This window comes from Homo sapiens, chromosome 2, assembly GCF_000001405.40.
Source record: "Homo sapiens chromosome 2, GRCh38.p14 Primary Assembly".
In the NCBI taxonomy this organism is placed as follows: domain Eukaryota; kingdom Metazoa; phylum Chordata; class Mammalia; order Primates; family Hominidae; genus Homo; species Homo sapiens.
Window position 1 is genome coordinate 241,208,816 of NC_000002.12, and position 27,992 is coordinate 241,236,807.

The window sequence follows — 27,992 nt, forward strand, 5'->3', positions numbered from 1 at the left end:
AGGCAAAATTCCTCTCCCTCTGTGGGTCTGTGCTTCCAAAACACAGTCAGGGGGCTGGGCACGGTGGCTCACGCCTGTAATCCCAGCACTTTGGGAGGCCAAGGCGGGTGGATCACAAGGTCAGAAGATCGAGACCATCCTGGCTAACACGGTGAAACCTCGTCTCTACTAAAAATACAAAAATTTAGCCGGGCGTGGTGGCGGGCGCCTGTAGTCCCAGCTACTTGGGAGGCTGAGGCAGGAGAATGGCGTGAACCCGGGAGGCGAAGCGTGCAGTGAGCCGAGATCGCGCCACTGCACTCCAGCCTGGGTGACAGAGCCAGACTCCGTCTCAAGCAAACAAACAAAAAATACACAGTCGGGGGATGTGTGTGGGATGCACACTCCCATTCCAGGAGGAAGGAACACTGGAAGGAACAAGGGGCCTCCAGTCCCAAGCAAGTCTGGACGCCCCCGCTCCCTGCCACAGGCCGGCCGGCTGTTCGACCACGGCGGCACCGTGTTCTTCAGCTTGTTCATGGCACTGTGGGCCGTGCTGCTGCTGGAGTACTGGAAGCGGAAGAGCGCCACGCTGGCCTACCGCTGGGACTGCTCTGACTACGAGGACACTGAGGTGAGCCACCCCCGCTGGACCACGGTCACACCCGGCGAGGGCCGCCACTGAGCACCGGCTCCCTTCCAGGAGAGGCCTCGGCCCCAGTTTGCCGCCTCAGCCCCCATGACAGCCCCGAACCCCATCACGGGTGAGGACGAGCCCTACTTCCCTGAGAGGAGCCGCGCGCGCCGCATGCTGGCCGGCTCTGTGGTGATCGTGGTGATGGTATGCGGTCCCCCTGCCCTCCGCTCACGCCTCCATCCTCCTGCACCATGTGGGGTGGTTTTGTCCCCCATCTCACCTTGGTGCCGTGGCCAGATGCCTCCTCTGGGCACAGAACCCTCACTCCCCGCAGAGAGGCCCCCATGTGCCCGGGCTCGGCCGTGGGGTCCCGGCTGAGAGCAGGTGTGAGTCATACGGAGGGCCTGGGAGGGTCTCCCCGTGGGTGCGGGCATGGGGCATTTTTCAAGCAAGGGGGTTGGTTTCAAGGAAAAGAGAGGCGGGCACCCCAGCAGGGCCATTCACTGCACCCTGTCTTGCCTTCCAGCCAAAGGGGCTTCCTAATAGGACCTCTCACTCCCCTGCCAAGATGTCAGGAATCCCCAATTCCTGGGATGGGATGGCTCTCCAACACTCACAGTGGCTGCCTTGACACCCAGATGTGGCCCAGCCTCTAACTCTAACCCCACCCCACCTCTGCCTGAGCAACTCATCAGGAAGGACATAGCCTGGGAGCACAGCCGGGGCTGGAGGCAGGGGCCTTCCTAGAGGTGGCAGTGCTGGGGCCAGCAGTGGACTAGAAGAGCTGTCGGGGGCCATGGCCTGAGGGTGCTGGGGTGCCCAAGACACCGTGAAGGGTCTCACGGGCCTCCCTGCCCCCGCAGGTGGCCGTGGTGGTCATGTGCCTCGTGTCTATCATCCTGTACCGTGCCATCATGGCCATCGTGGTGTCCAGGTCGGGCAACACCCTTCTCGCAGCCTGGGTGAGCCTCTGCTGCCTGCCTCGGGGGGCCCTGAGCGGCCCCTCATCCGGCTCTGACGGCCTGTCTCCCGTTAGGCCTCTCGCATCGCCAGCCTCACGGGGTCTGTAGTGAACCTCGTCTTCATCCTCATCCTCTCCAAGATCTATGTATCCCTGGCCCACGTCCTGACACGATGGGGTGAGTGGGCTGAGGCCGGCCAGGCACTGACCAGGGGCCCACCCTGCCGGCCGCCAGCCAGAACGTGACTTTCTCACTCACTGACACACATGGCCCTCATTTCTATTTCTTTCTTCTTTTTTCTTTTGAGACAGGATCTCACTCTGTTGCCCAAGCTGGAGTGCACTGGCACGATCATGGCTCACTGTAGCCTTGACCTCCCAGGCTCAAGGGATCCTCCTGCCTCAGCCTCCTCAGTACCTGGACCACTGTGCCCAGCTGAAATTTTTTTTTTTTTTGATAGAGACAGGGGTCTCACTGTGTGGCTCAGGCTGGTCTCGAGCTCCTGGCCTCAAGGGATCCTCCTGCCTAGGCCTCTCAAAGTGCTGGGATTACAGGCATGAGCCACAGCACCTGGTTTTCTTTCTCTTATTTTTTGTTTTTGGCACCCCAGGTGGGACACAAACAATCCCTGGGTTAGGAAGCCAGTGCTCCCTATTTCTAAATGTGGTACAGATTGGAGTTGTCTGAGCCTCCCCAGAGGCCCCCTTAAAAGAGCAGTGAGCAGGGCCTTCCTGGAGATAAAAGACCCTGGGGGCACTCCAGCACCCAAAGAGTTCTCACCCCTCCACAGGGCCCCCCTCCAGGCTGCAAGGTCCCCCAGGTGGGAGATGTCCCTCTAGGATAGGGCCGCTGAGCCTCTGTTGGGTGGTGTGGGGTATCGGCTGCTGGGCTGGGCAGCCACCTCTCAGTTCTTCCCTCCCCCTTCCTCTCCCATCGGTCTTTTTCTCTGTCTCATTTCCTGAGGACAAACACTTACGACCAACCTATTCATTCCATAAGCTGCTGCCTCTCACTAGCCCTGCTCTAGCCCTGGGGGTGAATAGTCTTGAACAAAAGCTGGCAGCCCCACCCTGGAGCCCAGGTTCTAGGAGAGGGGACAGAACTGGCTGCCTGCACAGCTACAGAGAATGGGAGAGGGCTTAAGTGCTGAGGAGGAAGTGCCTCCTGGTGGGTGGCCAGGGGAAGGTGGGTGTCAGGGAAAGACCTTTGCAGGTGGCAGGTGTCTCAGGGAGAGGTTCCTGGTTCTGGATGGCCAAGGGTAGGGCTCTGAGGGGAGCCACCCATTTGTTTCTGCAACTGTGGGGTTGCTGTGGGGTGTTGAGCCTCCCTCTTTCCCTCCTGTAACCTTCAGCCTTTGATGCTCCTGCCTCCGGCACCTGCACCGGAGCCCAGTCCGCTGCGCAGCCTTGGCACCGAGCCTCTATTCTGTTTCTCTGACCCATCCCCTGACCACTCACCCGTGTGCACCACATTCATTATTAGTGTTGGGATATAGGGTATTATCAATTTTCCCAACTCCTGTTAATCAACATGTTTTTGGGTGACTTCGGAAATGTCACACTTTGTCTCCTTCTTTTAAATATCTGGATGATATGGCCTTTTCCTCACCCGTGTGTGGCAAGGTGGTCCTAGGAGAGGGGGCCCCTAGTTGGATGCTGGTGACTCCCCCAGGGACTGAGCCCAGGCTCTCCATGCCACAGAAATGCACCGCACCCAGACCAAGTTCGAGGACGCCTTCACCCTCAAGGTGTTCATCTTCCAGTTCGTCAACTTCTACTCCTCACCCGTCTACATTGCCTTCTTCAAGGGCAGGTTGGTGGGCACCTCTCCCTCTGGCCACAGCTTGTCCCGGCTTAGTTCTGCTCATGTTTCCCGCTGCCTGGGTACCAGGCGTCATCCAGCCGTGCTCAGGCAGGTGGAGGACGGAACCGGAGACCCAGGCAGGGGACAGGGGCCCATGCCTCCTGGCACCTCTGAGCAAACAGGGGCTGCCCACCTCTTGGTCCCTACCCAGCTCGGGGGTCCACAGGAGGCCCAGCTCACAACCGGGACTCTACGCCACAGTTCGTGCTTCCTCCAGGGCAGGTGCAGCAGCTCTGCTGAGGCCTCCAGAGCCCAGGGAAGTGGGAGGAGACAGGAAGGATCCCATCAAGGCTCATGATCTTGACTTTCTCCTAGGTTTGTGGGATACCCAGGCAACTACCACACCTTGTTTGGAGTCCGCAATGAGGAGGTGAGTGTGCCTGAGGCCCGGGACTGGGGGATGAGCTGTGTGCTTCCTCTCACTTCCATTCTTCCATTCGAGCTTTGATTTGCAGCAATTCCTCCCACCACCGGCTATTTCCATCGCCCAGCCAGGGCCAGCTGTGCAGCTGACCACTCAGGGCTCCCAGCCTCTCTTCACCACTTATTCTGACCCCCGATATGCCCCATTCAGAACCACACCAAAACACTCCAGGCCGGGCACAGTGGCTCACGCCTGTAATCTCAGCACTTAGGGAGGCTGAGGGAGGAGGATCGCTTAAGCCCAAGAGTACGAGACCAGCTTGGACAACATAGTGAGTCCTCATCGCCACAAAAATTAATAAAAAAGCAAACCAAAAACCCTACCCCACCCCAGCTGTCCCAGCCCGTATTACTCTTTCCCCATTTTAACCCAATTCACACCTGAGAAAAGTGTGAGCCATTACGGTGGGCGCAGAGCCTCTGGCACACAGGCCCGCAGAGGCTGGCCTCCTCATGGCACACGGCCCGCAGGGGCTGGCCTCCTCATGGCACACAGGCCCGCAGGGGCTGGCCTCCTCATGGCACACGGCCCGCAGGGGCTGGCCTCCTCATGGCACACAGGGGTCGCAGGGGCTGGCCTCCTCACAGGCTTGGCGTGCTGCCGCCATGGCTGTCAGGGATCTCCCTGTGGCCAGCTGTCCTCTCCCCATCAGCACAGTGGGCTCTGCCTGTGACTGTATCTCTAAGAGCCTTAGCTACTCCGTATCTCTGAGAGCCAGGCGTGAACCTGGTTTTTCAGAAAGCAAATGGAAGTTCACCTGGTGGAGGATGAAGCGTTGTTGTCACGGGGGTCCCTGCAAAGCAGACCCCAAGACAGAGATTCTGGTGCAAGTAACTGACGTGTGCATCACCCCAGAAGTAGTCTCCACTGTGCCACAGCCCCTCCAAGACACCGTAGAGAAGCCCTCAAAACTGTTCCCGACGCACAGCCCCTCCTGGGTGAGGGCCAGGCATGTCCCAGCAGCTGGGGTCGCAGGCAGCAGGGTGGGTGCATCTGGAGCCATCCACAGGTGGCCTCTGGGCTGGGCTGGGACCTAAGTGGACCCCTGCTGAGTGACCCCTGGCCTGAAAGACCTCTTCTCCTTTTGGAAGAGGAGGAGGAGGAGAGAAACTTCGCATGGGGTCTGGGCCATGAGCCAGCCCAACTGCAAAGTGGCTGCCCCCAAAGGGGTGGTGTCCATTTCATGTGAGAGGGGAAAGGGAAGGCTGGGGATGGAGTGGGGAGTGTGGCTGCGGGTGCCACAACGGACCAGCCAGAGGGCTCTCAATTGTTAAGTGGGAAAAGTTCCCAACTCAAACTGGCTTAAACGAAAAAGGGAGTTTTCGGCCAGGCGTGGTGGCTCATGCCTGTAATCCCAGCACTTTGGGAGGCCAAGGCAGGTGGATCATGAGGTCAGGAGTTCGAGAATAGCCTGGCCAATATGGTGAAATCCCGTCTCTACTAAAAATGCAAAAATTGGCCAGGCGTGATGGCACGCACCTGTAGTCTCAGCTACTCGGGAGGCTGAGGCAGAAGAATTGCTTGAACCCAGGAGGTGGAGGCTGCAGGGAGTTTTCTTGGCTCCTGTACTGAAAACGCTCAGGGCTACGCGGGCTTAGGTATGAATGATCCAGGTGTTAAAAATGCTGCACTGCTATTCCCAGCATTGCCTGTGTTCTCAGAAAGATTATCCCCATCTGGAGGGAAGGTGCCCTGCAGTGCGGCCGACACTCTCGGACTTAGCACCCCTTGCAAGGCACGTGTTCCCAGGAACTCCACCTCCCACTGGCTCGAACTGGGTCACCGATTGGTGGGGCCTGCCTCGTGGGTCTGTCTTGAAGCCAGAGGCTACAGTCAGCCCCATGTAACCCCTTGTGGGTCTCCAAAGGAAAACTGGGGTGCCATTAGGTACATATAGCAGTGCCCCCTGCAGCTTTCCAATGCAGTCTTCCAGCTGGACCTGGGGGCTCCTGTGAGGTCGGGAGGGAGTGTTATGGTGGGAGCATCTCTGCAACCCTCCAGGTGCCCAAGGCATGTCAGGAGGGAGGTGGGGGCCGGGATGAGGGCCAGCTTTGAGACAAGAAGGGATGCGTGGGTGAGTGGCTGGTCCCCCTCTCCCAGCTAACCTGAGCCCTGCTGCCGTAGTGCGCGGCTGGAGGCTGCCTGATCGAGCTGGCACAGGAGCTCCTGGTCATCATGGTGGGCAAGCAGGTCATCAACAACATGCAGGAGGTCCTCATCCCGTGAGTCCCCCACTCCTCCCTGGGTGGCATCCAAGGACCGAGGGACCCCAGAGCACCTGGCAGTAGCAGCCTCCAGCCCGGCCCTAGCTGGGAGAAGAGGTGAAGGGAAGGCACCTTGCCTGGGGAGGGGGAGGGGGAGTGTGCCCGGCCGTCTGCCCCGGGCTCTGGGCTGCCCGCCCTGCAGCTGCCCTGTGGCTGGCTGAGGTCTTCTGGGTTGTAGTTGTGGGAGACGCTACCCCTGGGACCAGCTTTGGCTGGGGAGGGGGTCTGGGCTCCTGGACCCAAGGCTGGGGTGATGGCTCTGTCCGTTCAGAGATGCTGCGGCTGGGCCAGAGTATTCCTTGGCATCCCCAGGCCCCAACGCAGCACAAGAGGGAGGAGGAAAAGGAGGTCCCAGGGTTGATCCTCAGACACACGTCTGCCTCAGATGCCCCTGCCAGGGACACCCTGACCACAAGGCTCCCATAGCCAGAGTCCTTCAAAGAGGCTGCCCAGGGCCTCGCCTCCCGCTCAAGGCCAGACTGACCTGAACGCCCTCCCAGCGCCCCCTGAACACCTGATCTGCCCCCAGAAGGCAGCTCCCAAATCAGCACTGACATTTCTGGGCCACCAGGAATAGCAGTTGGGAGATGGTGGCCATGCCACATCCCGAGAGATGGCCCTGCCTCTTGGAACTATTGGTGCTGTGAAACCACAAGACCATAAGGTGCAGGGTGGAGCTCTGTGCCTGGCAGGAGCAGGGCACGGATGAGTGACAGTGTGATAAGGCAACATGCACACATGCCCCTGTGTAGGACGAACCCAACACGTGGGCCTCCACATCTGCTTTCCCTGGGACACCACAGTCGTCCTCGTCCACTCCCTCCCAACCTTGGCAGAGCTCTTGGCACTGCTTTGCAATTCCGGGAGGAGCCCATTACCCCTAAAGCCTTAAGGAACAATGCGGGGGGCTGGGCGGGTGGACTGCCCTCCCACATCTGACCAACAGACACAGACGCTTTCACTGAGTCCGATCTGCAAAGCTGTTGGCTCTCACTGCGTCCACCCCTCAGCCCCAGACCCCATCCCTCCCTGCTGCCCTTCAATTGCAAAGCAACAGGCTTGTCCCGGCCACATCTCCCCCAAGGACTATAGCAGCCACTGAGACCCATGTTGGATCAAAGGCCATTTTCCTGTATTCCCGTCCCCAGGAAGCTAAAGGGCTGGTGGCAGAAGTTCCGGCTTCGCTCCAAGAAGAGGAAGGCGGGAGCTTCTGCAGGGGCTAGCCAGGGGCCCTGGGAGGACGACTATGAGCTTGTGCCCTGTGAGGGTCTGTTTGACGAGTACCTGGAAATGGGTAGGAGCCCGTTAGCAGCTGCGGCAATGGCTGGCGCCGTGGGCAGGGATGGGTGGCCACTCTGCTCAAGGGCCTCCCAGCCTGACATTCCTGTGTCTGCATCTGCCCTGAAATGTGCTGTGGGGGTGGGGTGGGAACAGAGGGTCGGGCCTGTGGAGAATCCAGAAAGGAATTCTTTTCCCCTGAGAGTGCCCAAGAGGGTTGGCTGAGGACAGAGGGGCACCGGCACGGGGAGGAGGCCCCCGCGGCCGTTGCAGAGCTCCCCTGGGGTCCCTGGACCTAGAAAGCATGGGCCAGAGCAAGGGAAGAATTAGGAGAGCAGGCCCTGGGGGCTGACAGAAGTCCTCCAAGGGTGAAGCCACAGTGGGAGGCAGCGGCCTGGAGAGCCAATGTTCCCAGAAATCTCAATGCCCACGCTATTTGCAGACCTACCACTGTCACCTTACCAGGTGGTGGCCAGTGCCAGGGGCTCACTGCCTGCACGGGTGGTGCACTCTGGAGGGTGGGTCTGTATCACCTGTGCCGTCCCTGCAGTGCAGGGTCTGACTCTGAGCTGACAAAAGGGAGAAGGAATCATCAGGCAGTTTGTTTGTTTGTTTTTGTTTTGTTTTTTGAGACGGAGTCTCCCTCTGTCGCCCAGGCTGGAGTGCAGTGGCGCCATCTCGGCTCACTCCAACCTCCACCTCCCAGGTTCAAGCAATTCTCCTGCCTCAGCCTCCCGAGTAGCTGGGATTACAGGCGCCCACCACCACGCCCGGCTAATTTTGTATTTTTAGTAGAGGCGGAGTTTCACCGTGTTGGCCAGGCTGGTCTCGAACTCCTGACCTCAGGTGATCCACCTGCCTCAGCCTCCCAAAGTGCTGGGGATTACAGGCGTGAGAAACTGTGCCCGGCAGGCAGCTCTTAACCTAGCAAGCGGGCATGTGAGCCGGCAGGCCCCGGAGCTCCCCAGCGTAGCCGCGGCATCTGTGGAAAGGGAGCAGGCCAGTTCCCAGGGCGAGGAGTGGACGCCCTGACCCTCCTCCACTGAACCCTGGACCCCAATGATCTCACTAGTAATTCTCGGCGAAGACCCAGAAGCCCCTTCCAAAGAGCCCTCTCCTAACAGCTCCCCTGTGGGGTGACTGGAGAAGCTGGTTGTAAAATCAGGAGCAGGTTTCTGCCCCAACGCCTGCCCTGAGTTAGTTCCTGAGCTCACCGAGCCGGAGAAGGCCCGTGACCAGCCAGAAGCACGGAGCGCAGGGCAGGACAGCCGGCCTGAGGCCGGTCAGGAGAGGCGGCCCTGGCGCTGCGCGGTCCAGGACGAGGGAGACCAGGAGGTGGGGGCGGAATGAGCCGCGATGGGGTGGCGGCACCACGTGGACTGGCCGGTCCTCCGCGGGGGGCGCGTTCCGAGGGCTGAGGGCGGACGGTGGCGGAGAGCCCGGCCGTGACCCCCTCCCCGCAGTGCTGCAGTTCGGCTTCGTCACCATCTTCGTGGCCGCCTGTCCGCTCGCGCCGCTCTTCGCCCTGCTCAACAACTGGGTGGAGATCCGCTTGGACGCGCGCAAGTTCGTCTGCGAGTACCGGCGCCCGGTGGCCGAGCGCGCCCAGGACATCGGCATCTGGTTCCACATCCTGGCGGGCCTCACGCACCTGGCGGTCATCAGCAACGTGAGGCCCGGGCGGGAGCGCGGGGCGGGGCGGGGGCGCGCAGGGGCGGGGGCGGGGGGGGCAGCGGGGGCGCGCAGGGGCGGGCCGGGGGCAGCGGGGGCGCGCAGGGGCGGGGCTGGGGGCATCGGGGGCTCGTAGGGGCGGGGCGGGGGGGCGGCGGGGGCGGGCAGGGGCGGGGGGCAGCGGGGGCGCGCAGGGGCGGGGCGGGGGGGGCAGCGGGGGCGCGCAGGGGCGGAGCGGGGGCGCGCAGGGGCGGGGCGGGGGGGCAGCGGGGGCGCGCAGGGGCGGAGCGGGGGCGCGCAGGGGCGGAGCGGGGGCCGCCTCGCGCTGACCCCTCCGGCGCCCAGGCCTTCCTCCTGGCCTTCTCGTCCGACTTCCTGCCGCGCGCCTACTACCGGTGGACCCGCGCCCACGACCTGCGCGGCTTCCTCAACTTCACGCTGGCGCGAGCCCCGTCCTCCTTCGCCGCCGCGCACAACCGCACGTGCAGGTGAGCCCCGCGCCAGGTGGAGGGGGCCGCGGGCGCACGAGGACGAGGCGGAGCGGGGCTCGGGTGGGGTGGGGGTGCGGCGGTGGGGAGCCGGGAGGGGCGGGCGCCGCCGGGCAAGGCCGGGGGAGGGGGGGAGCTGGGGGCGCCGTGGGCAGGGGCTGGGGGGAGGTTCCCCGCGGTAAGGGACGGAGCTTTGCGGGGCTGGAGGGCAAATCGTGGATTCTAGGTGAATTGCTAGTTGGTCATAGTGTAGCAGGACGAGTCGCAGACAGAACTCCTCAGACACCGGATTAAAGAAGGAAGAGGTTTTTTTATTCGGCCGGGGGCGTCGGCAGACTCGTGTCTTCAGAGCGGAGCTCGCCGAAAAAGAAATTCTTAGCCCTTTGAAGGGCTTACAACTCTAAGGGTCTACGTGAAAGAGTCATAATAGATCAAGTAAGCGTGAGGAACGTGACTGTGGGCTACATACATCAGCTAACGGTACAAAAAGTTTTACGGTGCTTTCTCATACAGCGTCTGGAATTCACACATAACACCAGTAGTTTTGGTCAGGGGTTAATATTATTGTTATTTTAACCGCCAGGGCCAGGTGGTGGCGCCAAGGTCATCTAGCTATTTATCTTCTGTTTCTTTCCAGCTTTTTGCTTTCTTCCTTTTCTCCTGTCTTATAAACTAGGGAAAAGGGGAGGTTGGGGAGAAACTGGGAAGGACAACAGGAGAAGTGGTGGCCTCATACCATAATAGAACCTGCAGAGCAGGTAGATGTACTTCACCCGCAGTTGTGGAGACTTCCTTTGTGATCTGGTTACAATGAAGTTTTGCATGTGTTTCAATAAACTTGAAAAGCATCATAGTCTCCTAATGTTGGAGCAAATCTCAGCAGTAAAATTACGAAACCATAGGGTTATCAGTCTTTTCATATCGGTCTCTCTCAGGTTTTGCTTTTGCTCTATGTATTTTGAGCTTTTTAGTTGTGTACGAATTCATACTTGTGATCTCTTCATAATGGATACTTACTTTTTCCTTTTATTCTTTATCTTTTTTATTCCTCCTCTCCTGACTTCTGGTGGATGGGTAAAAGTGTTCTGGTTGTTTTTTTTATTATTATTCTTTTGCTTATTTGGAACCGATGGCATATATTTCTATTATTTTAGGGGTTACTCATATGTTTAGCATACATTCTTTTCTTTTTTCTTTTTTTTTAGAGACTGGGTCTTGCTCTGTATCCCATTCTAGAATGCACTGCCACAATTATAGCTCACTGCACCCTAGACTTCCTGGGCTCAAGCAATCCTCCCACCTCAGCTTCCCGAGAAGCCAGAACTACAGGCGTGTGCCACCAGGCCTGGCTTTTTTTTTTTTTTTTTTTCTTTAAAGAGATGGGGTCTTACTATGTTATGTTACTCAGGCTAGTCTCAAACTCCTGGCCTCAAGCAATGCCCTGGCCTCCCAAAGCACTGGGATTACAGGCACAAGCCACCACACCCGGCTAGCACACGTTCTAAACTATATATTATCCTAACAAAGCCTGAATGAACTCAGTTTTGTTTCCTCTCTCTGTGTATGACTAGGATCTTCACATGCCTTACCACCTAGTAAGCAGCAATCTCTCCATCTTATTATTGTTACATGGAGTTTTAGTTTTACTGTTAAAAACACACATGAAAAAACATTTTCAGTCATCTGTTCATCAAATTTATTTGTGTATTTTGTTAACTTCTGTGGTTACAGTAATTTCTTATGTATTGCCTTCTCCGAGTCTTTTTTTTCTTGCTGAAGTATATCCTTTAGTAATTCTTTCAGTAAAGGTATGTGGTTAGTGGGGTCTTCACATGCAGAAATGCATACACATATGTATGCATAGAAATATGTATCACGCATATGTATGATAATATTGCCATGCATTTTTGTCCTTCAAATAGCGGATATAAAAGTATAGGTCGAGTTATTTTCTCTCAGTTCTTTGGAAATATTATTCTTTTGTGACTTGGCTTTTCTGATTGGAAGCATTCATAGCATTTAAGAATTTTTCTGGCTGGGCATGGTACCTCATGCTTATAATCCCAGCACTTTGGGAGGCCGAGGCAGGTGGATCATTTGAGGTCAGGAGTTCGAGACCAGCCTGACCAACATGGTGAAACTCCATCCCTGTTAAAAATACAAAAAAAGGCTGCACACAGTGGCTCATGCCTATGTTCCCAGCACTTTGGGAGGCCAAGACCATCCTGGTTAACACCGTGAAACCCCATCTCTACTAAAAATACAAAAATTAGCTGGGCGTGGTGCTGGACGCCTGTAGTCCCAGCTACTCGGGAGGCTGAGGCGGGAGAATGGCGTGAATCCAGGAGGCAGAGCTTTCAGTGAGCCGAGATTGTGCCACTGCACTCCAGCCTGGGCAACAGAGCAAGGCTCCGTCTCAGAAAAACAAGAACAACAAACAAAACCTGGCTGTGGCAGTTCACGCCTGTAATCTCAGCTGCTCTGGAGGCTGGGGCAGGAGGATCATTTCAACTCGGGAGGCGGAGGTTGCAGTGAGCCGAGATGGCGCCACTGCACTCCAGCCTGGGCAACAGAATGAGACGCTGTCTCAGGAAAAAAAAAAGAAAAAAAGAAAAAAGCACTACCTTTACAGATGCCTGCTGGTGAAACAAATCAAAGAAAATGATATTTTTATTTTTTTATTTATTTTATTTTATTATTATTTTTTTGAGACGGAGTCTTGCTCTGTTGCCCAGGCTGGAGTGCAATGGCGCGATCTTGGCTCACTGCACGCAACCTCCGCCTCCCGGGTTCAAGCGATTCTCCTGCCTCAGCCTCACAAGTAGCTGGGATTACAGGCGCCCACCACCATGCCCAGCTAATTTTTGTATATTTAGTAGAGATGAGGTTTCACCATGTGGGCAAAGCTGGTCTTGAACTCCTGACCTCAGGTGATCCGCCTGCCTCGGCCTCCCAAAGTGCTGGGATTACAGGCCTGAGCCACCTTTCACGCCCGTCCTATTCTCTTTTTTCTTTGGGACAGAGTCTTGCTCTGTCACCCAGGCTGGAGTACAGTGGTGTGATCTGGGCTCACTGCAACCCCCGCCTCCTGGGTTCTTGTGCATCAGCCTGCCAAGTAGCTGGGATTACAGGCGTGCGCTACCACACCCAGATGATTTTTTTTTTTTTGTATTTTTAGTAGAGACAAAGGTTTCACCATGTTGGCCAGGCTGGTCTCAAACTCCGAACCTCAGGTATCTGCCCACTTCAGCCTCCCAAAGTGTTGAGCCACTGCACTTGGCCTAGGGAAGGGATTATTTCTTTTTTTTCTTTTGAGATGGAGTTTTCCTCTTGTCGCCAAGGCTGGAGTGCAGTGGCATGATTTTGGCTCACTGCAACCTCCACCTCCCAGGTTCAAGCGATTCTCCTGCCTCAGCCTCCTGAGTAGCTGGGATTACAGGTGCCTGCCACCATGCCCAGCTACTCTTTTATATTTTTAGTAGAGACGGAGGTTTCACCATGTTGGCCAGGCTAGTTTCGAACTCCTGACCTCAAGTGATCCACCTGTCTCAGCCTTCTAAAGCACTGGGATGGCCGGGCGCGGGGGCTCATGCCTGTATTCCCAGCACTGTGGGAGGCCGAGGCCGGTGGATCACAAAGTCAGAAGATTGAGACCATCCTGGCTAACACGGTGAAACCCCGTCTTGACTAAAAATACAAAAAATTAGCTGGGCATTGTGGCACGGGCCTGTAGTCCCAGCTACTCAGGAGGCTGAGGCAGGAGAATCGCTTGAACCCAGGAGGCGGAGGTTGCAGTAAGCGAAGATCACGCCACTGCACTCCAGCCTGGGCAACAGAGCGAGACTCTGTCTCATAAATAAATAAATAAATAAATAAATAAATAAATAAATAAAGTGCTGGGATTACAGGCATGAGCCACCGCGCCCGGCTGAAAGAGTTACGTCTTTGTTTAGTTCTGGAAATGTCTCCATCTTACTCCTTCCAGCAGTGCTTCTCTGCTTGTCCATTGTCGTCTGGAACTCCCACTGGGCTGTGGCCTGCTTCCCCCCAAGTGTGCTCTCTGTGTTGCCGCAGGGTGGTCTCGTCGTCACTGTCTCCCAGTCCCCAGTCTCTCTTCTGCTGTGTCTGGCCACTTAAAAGTTTATTCCATTCATTTGAGGGATTTTTTTTCCAATGGCTATATTTTTAACTTGCAATATTTGGTTTTTTGTTTTTTTTATTTTCCTACAAAGTTGACCCTGGTAATAGTTTTCATGGAGTGCAACATGTAACTTTATATTAGAAAATGGAATGTCACATCTTTACCATGGGACAGAGACACAGGAAGATGTCAAAGTCTGAAATAGCAAGTGAAGCTGAATGTAGCTTATGATAGGGAGGGAGGGCTCTGCTGGACAGGGACAGTCTCTGAGCAGGTGAACTGCTGATCTCACAGAGGTCAGCAATCGGCGGATTTTCACCGTGTAAGTAGACTGAAGTCATCCGTAGAAGCACAGACGTACTGGACTGTCACATCTACTAGAAAATAAAGCATCTGCCACCTGGGGGGTGGGGAGGGTCCAGTTTAGCCCAATGGGGGACAACCCAGCACATCCACCTTTGGAACCCACCAGTTAAAGGTATTGTCAGAGTATCCTGTTTGGGAAGAATTCCCATTTCAGGCACCCTCGATGAAGAGCCAGGCCAGGAACATGGGATGAGAGAGCGAAATGGTGGAAAAAGGGGAGATAGGCTAATTCCAGAGGCACCTGCCCAGCCAACACTCAGCCCTGGCTGCGCGCACTGAGTCCTGTGTCTGCTGCAGGTATCGGGCTTTCCGGGATGACGATGGACATTATTCCCAGACCTACTGGAATCTTCTTGCCATCCGCCTGGCCTTCGTCATTGTGTTTGAGGTAGCCGAGGCACCTGCTGGTTCTCCCATCCATGGCATGAGGCCCCGACCCTGTGCTTTGCCTAATTCGAGCACGTGGTGAGGGGTCGGTGCCGTCACTTCCTGCTGTGTCATCTTGGTCAAATCAGAGCTCTTCTCTGCACCTGCGTTTTCCCTGCCTGGCCTCATCCCTGGGTTGTGGTGTGGACATTGTGGGTGTCTCCACAGGAGCCCCAGGGCCACGAAAGCTGGGGTGGCCTCTGCCCCTTCTGGGGTTCCTTTTCCTGCACAGCTGCTTTCTGACTCCACCCACAGCTGGGAGCAGGTGCCGGAGCCCCGGCCTGCCTGGCCCTGTGAAGGCCACTCTGGGCGTTTGGGTGGGCGTGAGTGCCTTCCTCTGCTCCCAGCATGTGGTTTTCTCCGTTGGCCGCCTCCTGGACCTCCTGGTGCCTGACATCCCAGAGTCTGTGGAGATCAAAGTGAAGCGGGAGTACTACCTGGCTAAGCAGGCACTGGCTGAGAATGAGGTGAACTGTACAGCCCAGTCTCGGCCCTCCCCCCAGCCCTCTCCCTATCCTTGTCAGTGGCTGCTCTACCTCCGGACACTGAGTCACATCCCTCTTCCTCTTGCTGCCCTTTTTTGGGGACAGGTTCTTTTTGGAACGAACGGAACAAAGGATGAGCAGCCCGAGGGCTCAGAGGCAAGTCTGGGAGCAGCCAGGCCCCTGCCCCGTGCACTCCCTGAGGTCACAGGGCCCTGCCCAGCCGCCCACTGTGCCTCGTGGCCATGGCCTGCTCCTGGCCCTAGTCTGACTTGTCCCTGCCCCCAACCCTCTCCCCAGCTCAGCTCCCACTGGACACCCTTCACGGTTCCCAAGGCCAGCCAGCTGCAGCAGTGACGCCTGGAAGGACATCTGGTGGTCCTTAGGGGAGTGGCCCCTCCTGAGCCCTGCGAGCAGCGTCCTTTTCCTCTTCCCTCAGGCAGCGGCTGTGTGAACCGCTGGCTGCTGTTGTGCCTCATCTCTGGGCACATTGCCTGCTTCCCCCCAGCGCCGGCTTCTCTCCTCAGAGCGCCTGTCACTCCATCCCCGGCAGGGAGGGACCGTCAGCTCACAAGGCCCTCTTTGTTTCCTGCTCCCAGACATAAGCCCAAGGGGCCCCTGCACCCAAGGGACCCTGTCCCTCGGTGGCCTCCCCAGGCCCCTGGACACGACAGTTCTCCTCAGGCAGGTGGGCTTTGTGGTCCTCGCCGCCCCTGGCCACATCGCCCTCTCCTCTTACACCTGGTGACCTTCGAATGTTTCAGAGCGCAGGGCCGTTCTCCCTCGTGTCCTCTGGACCCACCCGCCCCTTCCTGCCCTGTTTGCGCAGGGACATCACCCACATGCCCCAGCTCTCGGACCCTGCAGCTCTGTGTCCCAGGCCACAGCAAAGGTCTGTTGAACCCCTCCCTCCATTCCCAGTTATCTGGGTCCTCTGGATTCTTCTGTTTCTTGAATCAGGCTCTGCTTTCCCCCTAGCCACTACAGGCAGCCTCTGACAGTGCCGCTTTACTTGCATTCTGCAGCAATTACATGTGTCCTTTTGATCCTTGCCCAACTTCCCTCCCTCTCCCAGCTCCTGGCCCCTGGCCCAGGGCCCCTCTTGCTGTTTTTACCTCTGTTCCTTGGGGCCTAGTACCCAGCAAGCACCCAAATGGGGGAGGTTTTGGGATGAGAGGAGGAAACGTGTATACCTGTAACATCTGGTGGCTCTTCCCCCAGAAGTTTGTGTTCATACATAATTGTTTTCCACGCTGGATCATAATGTGACGTGCAGTTCTGCCCTGTGCTGGGGAGCCACATGAAGCTTCCCCTGGCTAACTTGCTACCCCGCAGCAATCCCAGTGTGGCCGTCTGCTTGCTAAAAAATGGATCTGTGCTCATCTGTATTGATGTCCTTGGAGTTCTACAAGTGGAACTTAAGTGTCAAAAAGAATATGTGGTTTTTAGCTGAGCGTGGTGGCTCACACCTGTAATCCCAGGACTTTGGGAGGCTGAGGCAGGAGGATTACAAGGTCAGGAGTTCGGGACTAGCCTGTCCAACATGGTGAAACCCTGTCTTTACTAAAAATGCAAAAATTATTCTGGGTGTGGTGGCGGGCATCTGTAATCCCAGCTATTTGGGAGGCTGAGGCAGGAGAATCGTTTGAACCCGGGAGGCGGAGGTTGTAGTGAGCTGAGATCTCAACACTGCACTACAGCCTGGGCGACAGAGCAAGACTCCGTCTCGGGAACACACACACACAAAAAGAATATGTGGTTTTAATGTGCTTTGATGAGTACTGCCAAACTTACTCCACAGAAAAGGCCTCTTTCTGAACATCCTCGCCTGCGTTCTATTTCACCCACCGTGATGCCTGGCCTGAGGGCGGCGTGCTTGCTTGTAGCATTTCTTGAGGATTTGCTACTTGTTCACCTGCCTCTTAGGAGCACTGTGCCCTGCCTCCATGGAAGGGCTCTTCCGGCAGGGATGCAGGCTCACAGCGCCCTGGGGCTGGACACCACCGGCCGGAGCATGGCGGACAGCACACACGGCCCGGGGCGGGAACCTTGGAAACTTTACACAGATGGGGAGCTCAGCCATTCCACGTGTGCTTTCGCTCAGCACAATGCTTACTACAAACCCACGTGTACTTCCTTCCAGCTGGTTGCTTTTTATTGTTGCTGTCTTAAACTCCAAAGTTTTAAGGTGAATTTATTGAAACGTACGAAAATGCTCAGTTCATACAGGCTTCCAGGTGAACAAACTGTTGTAACCAGCACGTGGGTAAAAGGCAAGTTCCACATCACCCGACGTGGAAGCTCCCCGATGCCCACGTGCGCCCTACCCTGTGACCCTCTCCCATCCAGGGCCCTGATGCCCACATGCGCCCTACCCTGCCTGTGACCCTTTCCCATCCAGAGTAGCCACCACCTTAGCCACCAAGCAGAGATGGAACTGGGGACTTTGCATTTGGCGTCTGCCGTGGGACATTGCGCGAGCTCCATCCGTGCCGAGCATCCATCTCAGCCCCTCCTGGCTGCTGGGCTGCTTCGTGTTTGGCTTAGGGTCATTTTGCAGTTGTGTGCTTTGCTGTGGGTTGCATATTTAGGGCCCAACAGAACTGCTGGGTCAGGGATAAACATGTTCGGCATTTTTTTTTTTTTGAGATGGAGTCTCGCTCTGTCACCCAGGCTGGAGTGCAGTGGTACGATCTCGGCTCACTGCAAGCTCTGCCTCCCGGGTTCACGCCATTCTCCTGCCTCAGCCTCCCGAGTAGCTGGGACTACAGGCGCCCGCCACCACACCCAGCTAATTTTTTGCATTTTTAATAGAGACGGGGTTTCACCGTGTTAGCCAGGATGGTCTTGATCTCCTGACCTCGTGATCCGCCCACCTCGGCTTCCCAAAGTGCTGGGATTACAGGCGTGAGCCACCGTACCCGGCCAACATGTTTGGCTTTAAGAGGAACTGCCATACCCGTCTTCCCAGGTGGGGACCAGCCCAGTCAGCAGCAGGAACACCTATTCCCTCTTGACTCTTCCCGTTATCTCCTGCCACTCAGGTGACTGGGGTGGCTCCTCCCACTCAACGCCCCTCCCTCCTCCTCCTCCAGCCGAGGCCTCCGCCCGCACCCCCCACCACCCAACTCAGCTCGTCATAACTCACAGGCCGGGTCCAGGGTGCCAGGAATGCCACTGAGGCTGGCAGAGTCCTAAAAGGGAGTGGCAGGTGCTGCTCCACAAGGACGGTTGTCCACCCTCAATGAGGGCTGCAGGGCAACTGCTGACTGTCTGGCAGCCAGAGGACAGGGACAGGCAGCCACCCTCTTGCCATGACCACACCTGGGTCTCCCTCAGTGTGGCTCCCGAGGGGCCGTTGAACACAGTGTTGAGAACTGCTGAGAAAATCACACCAAAGACGAACTACCCACAGATGCCAGTCACCACTCCAGGGTGACGAGAAAGAGAACACACAGGCGGCAGCGTGACAAAATGAGTCCCAGCATGCTACATCTGGTTTCGGGTTTTATTTTAGAATTTATAAAATTCCAGTGTCATCCATATTCATGAGCCTTTACACATGTTTGCATATAATCTCCAAATTCCAAAGTTAAGGCCAAGGGATGGATTGTAGCTATGGAAACAGATGATATGGAAGACATCCAACAAGGAGGAAAAGCACACGCACGCCTCACCCCTGCCTCATCTCTGCCCAGGGCTGTCCTGACAGCACAGACGCTTCAGGGAGACAGGCCTGGGGACAGTCATGTCATCACCCTTGCAACAACCACCCAAAGGAAAAGAGAGCGCTGAACAGTTTAGGAAAGGGCTCGCGTCTAAGACATCAAGCGACATACAGAGATGTGCAAAACTTGGTGAGAATTAAAATTGACCTTTGGGAGAGGGTAGGGGCAGGATGTTTTATGACACTGTAGAAAAGACAGGAGGAACCCGCTGCGATGGAGATTGGGGGGAGCTGGAAGCAAGCAGCCAACAGGACAGAGTTCCAGAACTCATGCAGATGGGGAAGAGGTGACAGCCCTTCCCCACTGGCCTCCCCCGTGGAGGTGGAGTAGACAGATCCCGGGAAAGGCAGGAAAAGGGCCTTGCTTTCTTTCCCTGTTTCCTAAGCCGTGGTCACCCTAGCCTATGAAGCTGGAAGCTATATTCCTTCCAATCCCAATTTACCATTCCTGTAAACAGGCCCATTCAGGGCTGCCTGAGCAAATGGGGACTTGCCGAGGCAGCTGCAACTAGACTTGGGCTAAGCCGTCTGGGTCTACTCAAGAATTCGAGTCTGAAGATGACCAAGCTTGAGTTATTCAACTGAGAGTGAGGTGTCAAGGCGGAAGCGACTGTCCCCAGGGAAGGGCTGTGAGATGGATGGGCGTGAGTCAGCTTTTCCAAAACTCAAGTACCTGGGACAGGACAACTCGCTAGCAGCTCAGTCACCTCCGTGGCGGACACAGATAAGGATGTTAAGACCAGAAAACCAGAGACTAGGGCCCCGTCCTCAGCCCTCACAGCATGACACAGATGCCTCCCTCGGAGAGCAGGGTCTCTCGGCATCCAGCGGCGTGGTCTGCATTCTGCTCTACCTCATGCTCTAGGCCCCATGCCATCGTCTCGGCCCTAGACCGTGAAAACTGCCAGTCACCCGGGACCTGCTCCTAGGGGCTGGCCTGCACAGCCGGATGGCCTGTGGGCGGGGTGGAAGTGCCCACTCCCACTCCAGATGGGCCTGCTGGCCACTGACCCACCTGTGCTGAGGGAGAGCGCCAGCCTCCAGCTTAGGTACACGGCGCCCACCCCCAGCTCCACGGGAAACCCATAACCACCAGAAACATCTCAATCAAGAGACGGGTGTGTGGGGTGGCACTAACTGCACAGAGACCACTCCACGCCGGCTGAGGTAGAAAGAAGGCAACTGAACACACAGCAGCTAGGGCAGGGGCAGGGAGGGGCTGCAGGTGGTGTGAAGAAGAGCCCAGCTGTCATCTAAGGCAAACTGCCCCCACTGAGGACAAGCGTAAGGCCCTACCTCCCCCAACCTGTGCGCATCTCAATCACAGCAGACACTGTGACGGCCACAGGGGACCCAGATGGTGCCTACCACCTTGCCTCCAGGCTCCACTCACCAGACCTCAGGCTGAGGGTCTGGCAGTGGAGGTAGGGGCAGGGACCCTTGGTGCTTTCAGACCCCACGGCAGGTAAAATCAGGACTGCCTGAGAACCCGTCACCCTCTGCCTCTCAGGTCACCCCCCAGCTCCAGGAACCTGCCTCCTGCTGTCCATTGCCAGGTCTTCCTTGCACCCTGACACCTGTGCTGAGGCGCTCTGGCAGCTGGAGGAGGCTGATTGCACTCCACAAACAGGACTGTCTGGACCAAGGGAAACTGGCAGGAGGGAGGTGGGAAAGGAAGAGGGCAAACGTTTGGCTTTTATAAAGTCAAGGACGTTTATTTCCTGAGGTCATGACACAGGAAGTGGAATCCTAGCCACGGCTGCGGAGCTCTCGTGATGAAGGCCAGAGTGCTGACTGACATGCCGGGTGGACCAGGAGCTGGAGTCTGTTATCTTAGCACGAATGCTCATGACCTTGGTTTAGTGTTAAACAGTGGAGCAGGTCCTGAGCGGGCACGGCCAGGCCTGGAGGAGCGGCCGCACACACAGCCAGGCGCTAGGCTCCCTGCGGGACCTCGGGAAGGGGGAAGAGCGTCAACAATTTACGGAGGGTCCAGCCGCTGGGTCAGATTGAGACAAACCATTGTGTGGTTGGGTTTGGGTCAGCAGGCTGGAGAGGGTTCTGTTCTTTTTGATCATTATCGTTTGGGGCCCCAAGGGAGGGTCTTGGGAGCCACCTGAGCCCCAAAGCTGGGAAATTCCTCAGAGCTGCTCATGTCAGGAGCCTGTGCAGAGAGAGGACACGGCTTCAGGAGGGGATGCTCCCCAACTCGCAAGCAGCTTCCGACGCAGTTGCCACCCTCAGGACACCAAGCCCGCCTGCCCGCCCACCCTCCCTGGGACCCAGGAGGGCAGAAGCCCGCATCTGACCTTCTCACTGCTGCTGGCGGTCCAGGGTGCGTCCCGCACCACAAAGCCTCTGGAAGGTGCCTTGGCCTCTTCGTGTGCTGGGGGTTTCATGTATACCTGCAGCGCCTCACTGTCCACCACGTCAGCTAGCTGCAGGCAGAAGACAGGAAGACAGGGTCAGTCTGCCCAGCACCCCCAGCATCCCGCCCGCCTGCTCACCCCTGCACCTCGCCTGCCTCTGGAAACACAAGTGCCACCTTGTCCCCTGAAGCTCCTGGCTGGGCCTCAGGCCGGTGGACGTGCCAGGGCGCCTCAGGGCTCCAAGGCCCACAGAGACTCACGTATTCCTCCTCCAGATTGAGGATGTGGTCGATGGCTTCCTCCACATTCTCTGGGAGCCCCGTCACAGTGACGCAGTTGGGGTCTGGGGCTCCGCTCTGTGGGAAGCGAATGTCCACCTGGAAGGGGTGTACAACGTCAGATGAGGGGACTCCAAGCGAGGAAAAGGGTTAAAATTATGTGTCAATTTCTAGTGAAGCATTTTCTGAGTTAGCAAACGTTTTAAAATCTGGTTTCAGAGTTGTTCTGAAGTCAGTCAGCCTCATCACCACACCAAGTTAGGTGTATCTCAGGAGCACCTTGTTCCCAGCAGACAGAGGGCCGCAGCACGTACTGTGCGCTCTTGCATGAAATTCCCACCCACAGAGGACGAGCTCGCCAGGCAGCTGTCAAGGAGATGCCCTCCTAATGGCCACCGTGGCAGTGCAGCCTCACACAGGCCGTCGCCTGCACTGACCCGTGGTGTCCATGAGGACAGTTCCACTGCCAGCCCTGGGGTTGTGGCCTCATCATCTTGAGGGGAAGGCCATGCCCTGCTCTTTCTTCTGGCCAGCCAGGTGCCCCCGGTGAGAGAGGATTCTCACCCACTGTGCTTCCAGCCGGCTCACCTTGAATTCGTCCATGATTTTGCGAATGGCTTTGCCGCGGGCACCAATGATGCGGGCGTGAACGCGGTGGTCCAGCGGGACGTCCTCAGAAACCATCTGCTCAAGTTCACCCACAATTCTCAGTATAGCATCCCTGGCAGCTTCTGTGTTCTTTTCGTACCCTGTGATGGTAATTTGGTCCTGGGGCTAAAAAAGGAGAATGTAGTCAGAAAAGGGGATGCCTTACTGGGATTCCCGTCAGGGGCAAGAGCCGGCCCCCACTGCTGAGGAAAACAGCTCAGGAGAGAAGATGGAAAGCAACGTCACGGCTGATTTAAAACAAGAGGTTAACAATGTCCACTCAGGGCCGGGCACGGTGGCTCACGCCTGTAATCCCAGCACTTTGGGAGGCCGAGGCAGGCGGATCACCTGAGGTCCGGAATTCGTGACCAGCCTGACCAACATGGAGAAACCCCGCCTCTACTAAAAATACAATATTAGCCGGGCGTGGTGGTGCACGCCTGTAATCCCAGCTACTCCCGGGGCTGAGGCACGAGAATTGCTTGAACCCGGGAGGCGGAGGTTGCTGTGAGCCGAGATTGCGCCACTGCACTCCAGCCTGGGCAACAGAGCAAAACTCCATCTCAAAAAAAAAAAAACAAAAAAAAAACACCCCACAAAAAACCTATGTCCACTCAGCTTCCATCTCTTCCCAAACTCTACCCAAAAGACAGTGAATTACAGAACGAAAAAGGACATTTGTCCTCAAAGACAAAGGAGAGACACTAACAGGCAAGAATTCTGGACTCAAGGACAGCGGGGCAAAGACAAAGCCCCAAGCCCCTCAGCTTCCTGCTTCTTTGCCCACGTGGGCCACAGTCTGGAGGCATCTTTGTGCTGGAGGCTGGAGGCTGGCTGGCATTCCTCAGCGAGCCCCTCCCTCACTCAGAGATCCCACCTGCTCAGGCCTTCCTTGGGCCACACAAATGGACAGGAGACACCATACCAGACTTGGGATAGCAGACAAGCAGACCAAGCAGACAGTTCAGGGCATAGAGAAGGAAACGTGGTAACAAAACACCTGTAGCCCACAATCGGCGAAAACAACATGTCCACAACACAAAAACCACCATGCAACAGGACTAGAGGACGGGGACAAATCACAACCATCACGCAACAGGACTAGAGGACAGGGACAAATCACAACACGGAACCATCATCACGCAACAGGACTAGAGGACAGGGACAAATGCCTGGAAAGGAAATGAGCAGAAAGACCTAACCTAGAGACAACAGAGCAGCAGCCCAAGAAGCTTCTGTCCAGATTGAAGCAAAATGCCAGAGTGGGAGGCAGCAGCCCCACCCACCGTGGCCCAGCAGAGCTGACAGCCTCAGGCACCACCCGCGTGCTGCCAGGTACAGAACCTCAAGATCGGAAGCACAGCTCACAGGAAAAAGCTGCCTGTGAAGAAATGACTGCTCCACCCCACTTGGCTCATGGTGTATTAGATGGAATAGTCTAATTGCTAAACAATGACTTTTTTTTTTTTTTTTTAAAGACAGAGTCTCACTCTGTCGCCCAGGCTGGAGTGCAATGGCATGATCTCAGCTCACTGCAGCCTCCGCCTCCTGCGTTCAAGCGATTCTCACGTCTCAGTCTCCCGAGTAGCTGGGATTACAGGTGCACGCGACCACGCCTGGCTAATTTTCATATTTTTAGTAGAGACAGGCTTTCGCCATGTTGGTCAGGTTGGCCTTGAACTCCTGACCTCAGGGGATCCACCCGCCTCGGCCTCCAAAAGTGTTGGGATTACAGGCGTGAGCCACTGTGACTCACCTATAATGACTTTTAAGATTGATAATTATATAGAATAGTAGAGGGAAATAAAAGGCAATAAGGGTGAGGGGCTTAAAAGAGCTAAACTCTTGGGCTGGGAGCGGTGGCTCACAGCTGTAGTCCCAGCTACTTGGGAGGTTGAGGCACGAGAATCACTTCAACCCGGGAGGCAGAGGTTACAGTGAGCCGAGATCGCGCCACTGCACTCCACCTGGGGCAACAAGACAAAGACTATCTCTCTCAAAAAAAAGAACTAAACTCTCAAGATCAAGACTAAAAATTAAAAAATGTATGTGGGGAGGGAAGAGGACGTGGGAGCTGGAGGAGGCAGGGTGCAGGAGGGCCCTCCTGGCCTGGCTGGTGTGTGTGTGACTCAAAGATCCAAAAGGGAACAAGAAGCTGGGGAGGAAGAAGGGGAAGGGGAAGGGGAAGCAGCGGAAAACCCTGGGCGGCACATCCACAGTGGGAGCGAGGGGCGTGGAGGGGCTCTGCTGCCAGGGGGTTTGCTGTTTCTGGAAACCAGCACAACTGTGGCCACCAAGGCTTGCTAGTCTCCCACTGTGGGCAAAGCTGTGCTGGACACGCCTAGGAAGCAGACACCCCAGCAGGATGCCAGAGCCAGGAAAGACCAAGCCTGGGAAGTGTGTGCAAGAGGGGGTGTTGGGTGAGGCTGCCCTGCATGCCAGGTGGCAGGGCCCAGAGAGGGGATGGGGCTGCCTTTCATTTTGTTCTGAGTGAAGCAGGAGGCCATGAGGGCCAGTGGCAGGGGGGTGGCACTGCAATTTGGAGGAAGTAACAACAAGAGTTTACTAAGGACCATCTGGCAAGCACAACGGTGTTTGCAGCTGGGGCTGCAGAGAAATGTCCACCTGACCCCAAGAGGCCCAGGTGACAGGTGAATGAGAGCCCTTGGGAGCCTCAGAGAGGCCCGGGTGACAGGTGAATGAGCTACACCTGGAGGCGCCACTGATCAAGGACCCAGCTGGAGCTCCTGCTCATTTTCTGGAAGGAGACGCAGGAGAAAATGCTCCAGGCCCCAGATGATACATAGTGCCAGAGACCTCACCCATCTGGCAAGTACCGAGACACAGCCCAAACCTCAAGCCAGAATTAGGTCCTGAGAGACTTGCCACTCTCAACTTGGCCCTCGAACCCCCATCTAGGCACATCTGGTTACTGCTCCCAAGTCACAGGAAAGGTCAACAAGCACCTCTGCCCCCGACACGCTCCAACCGAGGCTCTCACCTGGTTCCCATCGTCCTTATCAGGAAACTGGATGTTCACGTCATGCTCCAACCGGATTTGGGTAATTACTGCCCCCTTTCTCCCGATAATCTTGGGATGGTATTTGGGGTCTACAGTGACACTCAGCTTAAAACTCCTTAAAGCCTACAAATGAAAGGAGCAAGAATGAGGCAAAGATTGAGCTGATCCACCCTGTGACTCCATTCCCCTTCCACCCTGGTCATAGGACACTGGAGATGCTGCAGTGTTCTGTAACCCGTGGTCCGGAATGGTCCGCCATCTCTCTGGTCCGACCTCTGCCACCTTCCATTATCTGCTAATAATGAGAACCAGGGAACTTGGCTGCTCCACAAGGAGGTCTATAAATCCTTCAAAAGAGGGCTTGGGACCACTTGCGAGGATCGTGCTCAGGAACTGACAGAGCTAGGCAGTGAGTCACGAGCTTGGGGCCCCGCTCTCCTCATTTGTCAAACAGGGATCTGATGGATACGCACAGAAATGCTCTGGATCTTTTTAGGACTGGGGCAGATGCAGACCAAGAAGAGGGGGCAGCCACAGCCCCTGAACACCCATGGCCAAAGGCTACAGGTATGACCTGGCTGCAGGAGACAACCCAGAGTCCACGCAGGGGTACACTGACACCATGTGAGGTTCACGAGCTCCACCCCATTCACCAGACTCGACGTGCTCACGGGAGGAGTGGAAAGCCAACCCCCTTAGCAAACCAGCACCCCAGCACAGTCTGCTCCAAGTTCCAGAACCCCTGCTCCTGTCTGCAGCACTCTGCTCACACAATCCTCCAAATGTCAGCCCTGCCAGAGGCTGGGCGTCTGCAGCGCTCCGCTCATACAATCCTTCAAACGTCAGCCTTGCCAGAGGTTGGGGGGGTTTCATCCCTGCTTACCAGGAAGTCATTCGCCCTTTGACCACCCTGTGCTAGAGGTTAGTGGGGGTCCCCGATGCTCGTCCTCACTGCATAGCACATGCTTGGGGGCCTCTCGCAACCTTGACCTTTCTTGTAGGTCTGAGGTACCACTCTGATTTGGTTTTGAGAGAAACTGCAAATTTACACGGAAGTCCAACTTTGTCACTTTTTTATGAAAAAGAGAAAGGTGCCATGCTCTTGGCTAGTTCCACAGCAAGACCCCTGGATGCTGACTGCGTCCTGGCACTGCCTGCATCTCACCTCCAGCCAGATGTCGCTGGGATGCTGGGATCCTGAAGAACTTCCCTAGATTCTGACATGTGCCCAAAGCTGAGCACCATGGCTCTGGGCAGTGCCCCGGCCACCTCCTGCTCACCCGGTCCTCCTGCTCGGCCTGTAGCTCCTTCACACGCTCCAGCAGTCCAGCCTTGGCCCGGTCCAAATTTGCAGCGAGGCCCGTGATGGCGATGATGTCAGACTGCAGCTCAGGTGCCGGGACATGTATGTTCACCTACGTGAAGAGGGGGCTGACTTGACGTTCAGGACCCCAGAGAACAGGAAAGAGTCCATTGGCCCTGGGACCCAGAAGTGGTGAGAGGGAAGGCCACCCGCCGTGAAGGGAAGTCAGTGCCCAGTCCGAGCAGGAGGAGGCAGAGTCAACAGGAAGTTGAGAAAGGACACTGGCACTCGGGAGAGGATGCGACAGGCCACTCCTGTGACATGGCCTCCCGGGAAAGGGGTCTACCTCAAACTCATCCATCATCTTGCGGATCCCACTTCCTTTCTGCCCAATAACGTAACGGTGAAGGTCAAAGGGCACCTCTACTTCAATGGTGACAGGAACCAATGCCTGCAGGGAGGATGGTCATGGTTAGGCCGTGGGAGCTGAGAGCAGAGTGACGTTGTAAGCTCAGCAATGGGGCTCCACGAAACACAAGGCAAACAGCCCTATGACAACAGCAATGTGCCCCACCCGACAATGCCACCAGGACCTTTAACTCAATAGAAAAGAATAGGAAAAGATTTGCATTAGGCTAATGCTGGCAGACAGAAATTCCAGACCCTTCATCCCAAGCCTACCCTCCTGAATTACAGCAGCCCCTTCAGGCCCACGTAGGAGGAGAGGCCCTGACTCCTGGCACATCCTCGGGGTCATGACGGCTTTGACCGATGCCCATGAGGTGCCACAAGGGACTCTCGGACCACTACTCACCTTCCCTGCCCTGTCCCTTGGGATCAGGACGGCTTTGGCTAATGCCCACGAGGTGCCACAAGGGACTCTCAGACCGCTGCTCACCTTCCCTGCCCTGTCTCCCCCACCGCCCTTCACCTCCAGAACCTGCTTTCTTGCCACAGCATTTACCATCACTTGCCACAGGATATATCTGCGTTGACTGCTTGTCTCTCCACGGCAACGTGAGAACTATTTTTGTGTGCTGTGGCACCGCAGCACTGAGAGCAGCATCCAGTACGCAGGTGGCACTCGACACTGACTGCACACAAGGTGAGCTAGGCCTGATAACCCCACTCACGCGGGGGGAGACGTTGCAACTGGAGGTCACATTCATCCCCCTGCAGCTGAGACCCTTCCACAGCCCCCGCACCCACCGTGGGCCTGAGAGGCCGGATCCCATGCAGCTGTCCCAGAAAGGGGCTATAGAACCCCGAGCCTTGGTGAAGGGAAGTGGCCTCCCCAAACTCTGTGTCCAGCCGAGAAGCACAGCCCGTGCGCACACGGTAGGAGCAAGAGGGCTACCTCCACTGCCACTGCCGCTTGGGCAACCGTCCATCCCATCCAGGCCACGCGTCTCCCCAGGTGCCTGCTGACTGGGCCTTGGCGGGGGGTGGAGGGGGGCACATGGACACATACCTCCAGAGCTTCCTTGGCAGCCTCACACTTTTCTTTCCGGCCAGAGATGATGATGATGTCACACCTCCTTGGAGAGCCGGGGTCACAATCTTTAGCCTCTCTCCCCTCCCCAGCTTCGTCCCCATTCTCCTGGACAACTGGCTCTGTACTGTGAACTAGAGAGAAAGGGGAAAAGGGACAGCTGACAGCTGCT

The 27,992-nt window shown here is 56.5% G+C and overlaps 2 protein-coding genes and 1 long non-coding RNA gene across 56 annotated transcripts in view, besides 8 other annotated features; 2 read left to right on the plus strand and 1 right to left on the minus strand.

Annotated features, from left to right (window-relative positions):
• Positions 1-27,992, plus strand: part of ANO7 (anoctamin 7) — a 51,632-nt gene that overhangs the window by 20,139 nt on the left and 3,501 nt on the right. For 8 of the 30 annotated variants that reach the window (XM_047444596.1, XM_047444598.1, XM_047444600.1 and 5 more), the window contains 14 exons: positions 470-613; positions 683-820; positions 1,480-1,578; positions 1,653-1,755; positions 3,279-3,390; positions 3,757-3,811; positions 5,990-6,087; positions 7,278-7,423; positions 8,871-9,076; positions 9,424-9,566; positions 14,371-14,461; positions 14,847-14,966; positions 15,090-15,140; positions 15,287-16,369. In XM_047444596.1, the coding sequence (XP_047300552.1) occupies positions 470-613; positions 683-820; positions 1,480-1,578; positions 1,653-1,755; positions 3,279-3,390; positions 3,757-3,811; positions 5,990-6,087; positions 7,278-7,423; positions 8,871-9,076; positions 9,424-9,566; positions 14,371-14,461; positions 14,847-14,966; positions 15,090-15,140; positions 15,287-15,367 (1,587 nt within the window). In that variant the 3' untranslated portion in view covers positions 15,368-16,369. Of the gene's footprint in view, positions 1-395; positions 614-682; positions 821-1,479; positions 1,579-1,652; positions 1,756-3,278; positions 3,391-3,756; positions 3,812-5,965; positions 6,088-7,277; positions 7,424-8,870; positions 9,077-9,423; positions 9,567-9,792; positions 10,002-10,771; positions 10,889-14,370; positions 14,603-14,846; positions 14,967-15,089; positions 15,141-15,281; positions 17,162-27,992 lie in introns of those variants that run through there. The other 22 variants (XM_047444599.1, NM_001370694.2, XM_047444603.1 and 19 more) reach the window with 19 other exon arrangements.
• Positions 4,285-4,844: an enhancer, noted in NCBI's record as "H3K4me1 hESC enhancer chr2:242152515-242153074 (GRCh37/hg19 assembly coordinates)". NCBI's record gives its function as "activates a minimal SCP1, AML or CMV promoter by ChIP-STARR-seq in primed H9 embryonic stem cells {active_cell/tissue: H9 hESC(primed)}" and the evidence as "EXISTENCE:reporter gene assay evidence [ECO:0000049][PMID:30033119]".
• Positions 7,483-8,014: an enhancer, noted in NCBI's record as "H3K4me1 hESC enhancer chr2:242155713-242156244 (GRCh37/hg19 assembly coordinates)". NCBI's record gives its function as "activates a minimal SCP1, AML or CMV promoter by ChIP-STARR-seq in naive H9 embryonic stem cells {active_cell/tissue: H9 hESC(naive)}" and the evidence as "EXISTENCE:reporter gene assay evidence [ECO:0000049][PMID:30033119]".
• Positions 8,649-8,778: a silencer, noted in NCBI's record as "silent region_12532". NCBI's record gives its function as "represses an Ori minimal core promoter by ATAC-STARR-seq in GM12878 lymphoblastoid cells {active_cell/tissue: GM12878}" and the evidence as "EXISTENCE:reporter gene assay evidence [ECO:0000049][PMID:35858748]".
• Positions 10,122-10,221: an enhancer, noted in NCBI's record as "active region_17420". NCBI's record gives its function as "activates an Ori minimal core promoter by ATAC-STARR-seq in GM12878 lymphoblastoid cells {active_cell/tissue: GM12878}" and the evidence as "EXISTENCE:reporter gene assay evidence [ECO:0000049][PMID:35858748]".
• Positions 14,914-15,083: an enhancer, noted in NCBI's record as "experimental_57796 CRE fragment used in MPRA reporter constructs". NCBI's record gives its function as "activates a minimal promoter by MPRAs in K562 erythroleukemia cells, with activity observed for both the introgressed and non-introgressed 2:242163229 or rs2305070 variant alleles {active_cell/tissue: K562}" and the evidence as "EXISTENCE:reporter gene assay evidence [ECO:0000049][PMID:34662402]".
• Position 14,999: a transcriptional cis regulatory region, noted in NCBI's record as "Neanderthal adaptively introgressed variant 2:242163229 (GRCh37/hg19 assembly coordinates) or rs2305070 in the experimental_57796 CRE". NCBI's record gives its function as "modulates activity of the experimental_57796 enhancer by MPRAs in K562 erythroleukemia cells {active_cell/tissue: K562}" and the evidence as "EXISTENCE:reporter gene assay evidence [ECO:0000049][PMID:34662402]".
• Positions 15,205-16,165: an enhancer, noted in NCBI's record as "H3K4me1 hESC enhancer chr2:242163435-242164395 (GRCh37/hg19 assembly coordinates)". NCBI's record gives its function as "activates a minimal SCP1, AML or CMV promoter by ChIP-STARR-seq in naive H9 embryonic stem cells {active_cell/tissue: H9 hESC(naive)}" and the evidence as "EXISTENCE:reporter gene assay evidence [ECO:0000049][PMID:30033119]".
• Positions 17,864-20,417, plus strand: LOC105376810 (uncharacterized). The gene is made up of 2 exons (XR_001739176.3): positions 17,864-17,952; positions 18,077-20,417. It is a non-coding gene; the product is annotated as an uncharacterized LOC105376810 (long non-coding RNA).
• HDLBP (high density lipoprotein binding protein) overlaps positions 18,476-27,992 on the minus strand; it is an 88,382-nt gene continuing 78,865 nt past the window's right edge. For 19 of the 25 annotated variants that reach the window (NM_005336.6, XM_011511060.4, XM_011511058.4 and 16 more), the window contains 8 exons: positions 27,800-27,954; positions 26,675-26,779; positions 26,306-26,440; positions 25,005-25,148; positions 21,944-22,129; positions 21,338-21,454; positions 21,018-21,146; positions 18,476-20,872 (listed from right to left, as the gene is read on the minus strand). In NM_005336.6, coding sequence (NP_005327.1) covers positions 20,786-20,872; positions 21,018-21,146; positions 21,338-21,454; positions 21,944-22,129; positions 25,005-25,148; positions 26,306-26,440; positions 26,675-26,779; positions 27,800-27,954 — 1,058 coding nt within the window. In that variant the 3' untranslated portion in view covers positions 18,476-20,785. The remainder of the gene's footprint in view (positions 20,873-21,017; positions 21,147-21,337; positions 21,455-21,943; positions 22,130-25,004; positions 25,149-26,305; positions 26,441-26,674; positions 26,780-27,799; positions 27,955-27,992) is intronic. The other 6 variants (XM_017003941.3, XM_047444077.1, XM_047444079.1 and 3 more) reach the window with 1 other exon arrangement.
• Positions 27,083-27,294: a silencer, noted in NCBI's record as "fragment chr2:242175313-242175524 (GRCh37/hg19 assembly coordinates)". NCBI's record gives its function as "represses an EF-1alpha promoter that drives an FKBP-Casp9 reporter gene in an ReSE screen in HepG2 liver carcinoma cells {active_cell/tissue: HepG2}" and the evidence as "EXISTENCE:reporter gene assay evidence [ECO:0000049][PMID:32094911]".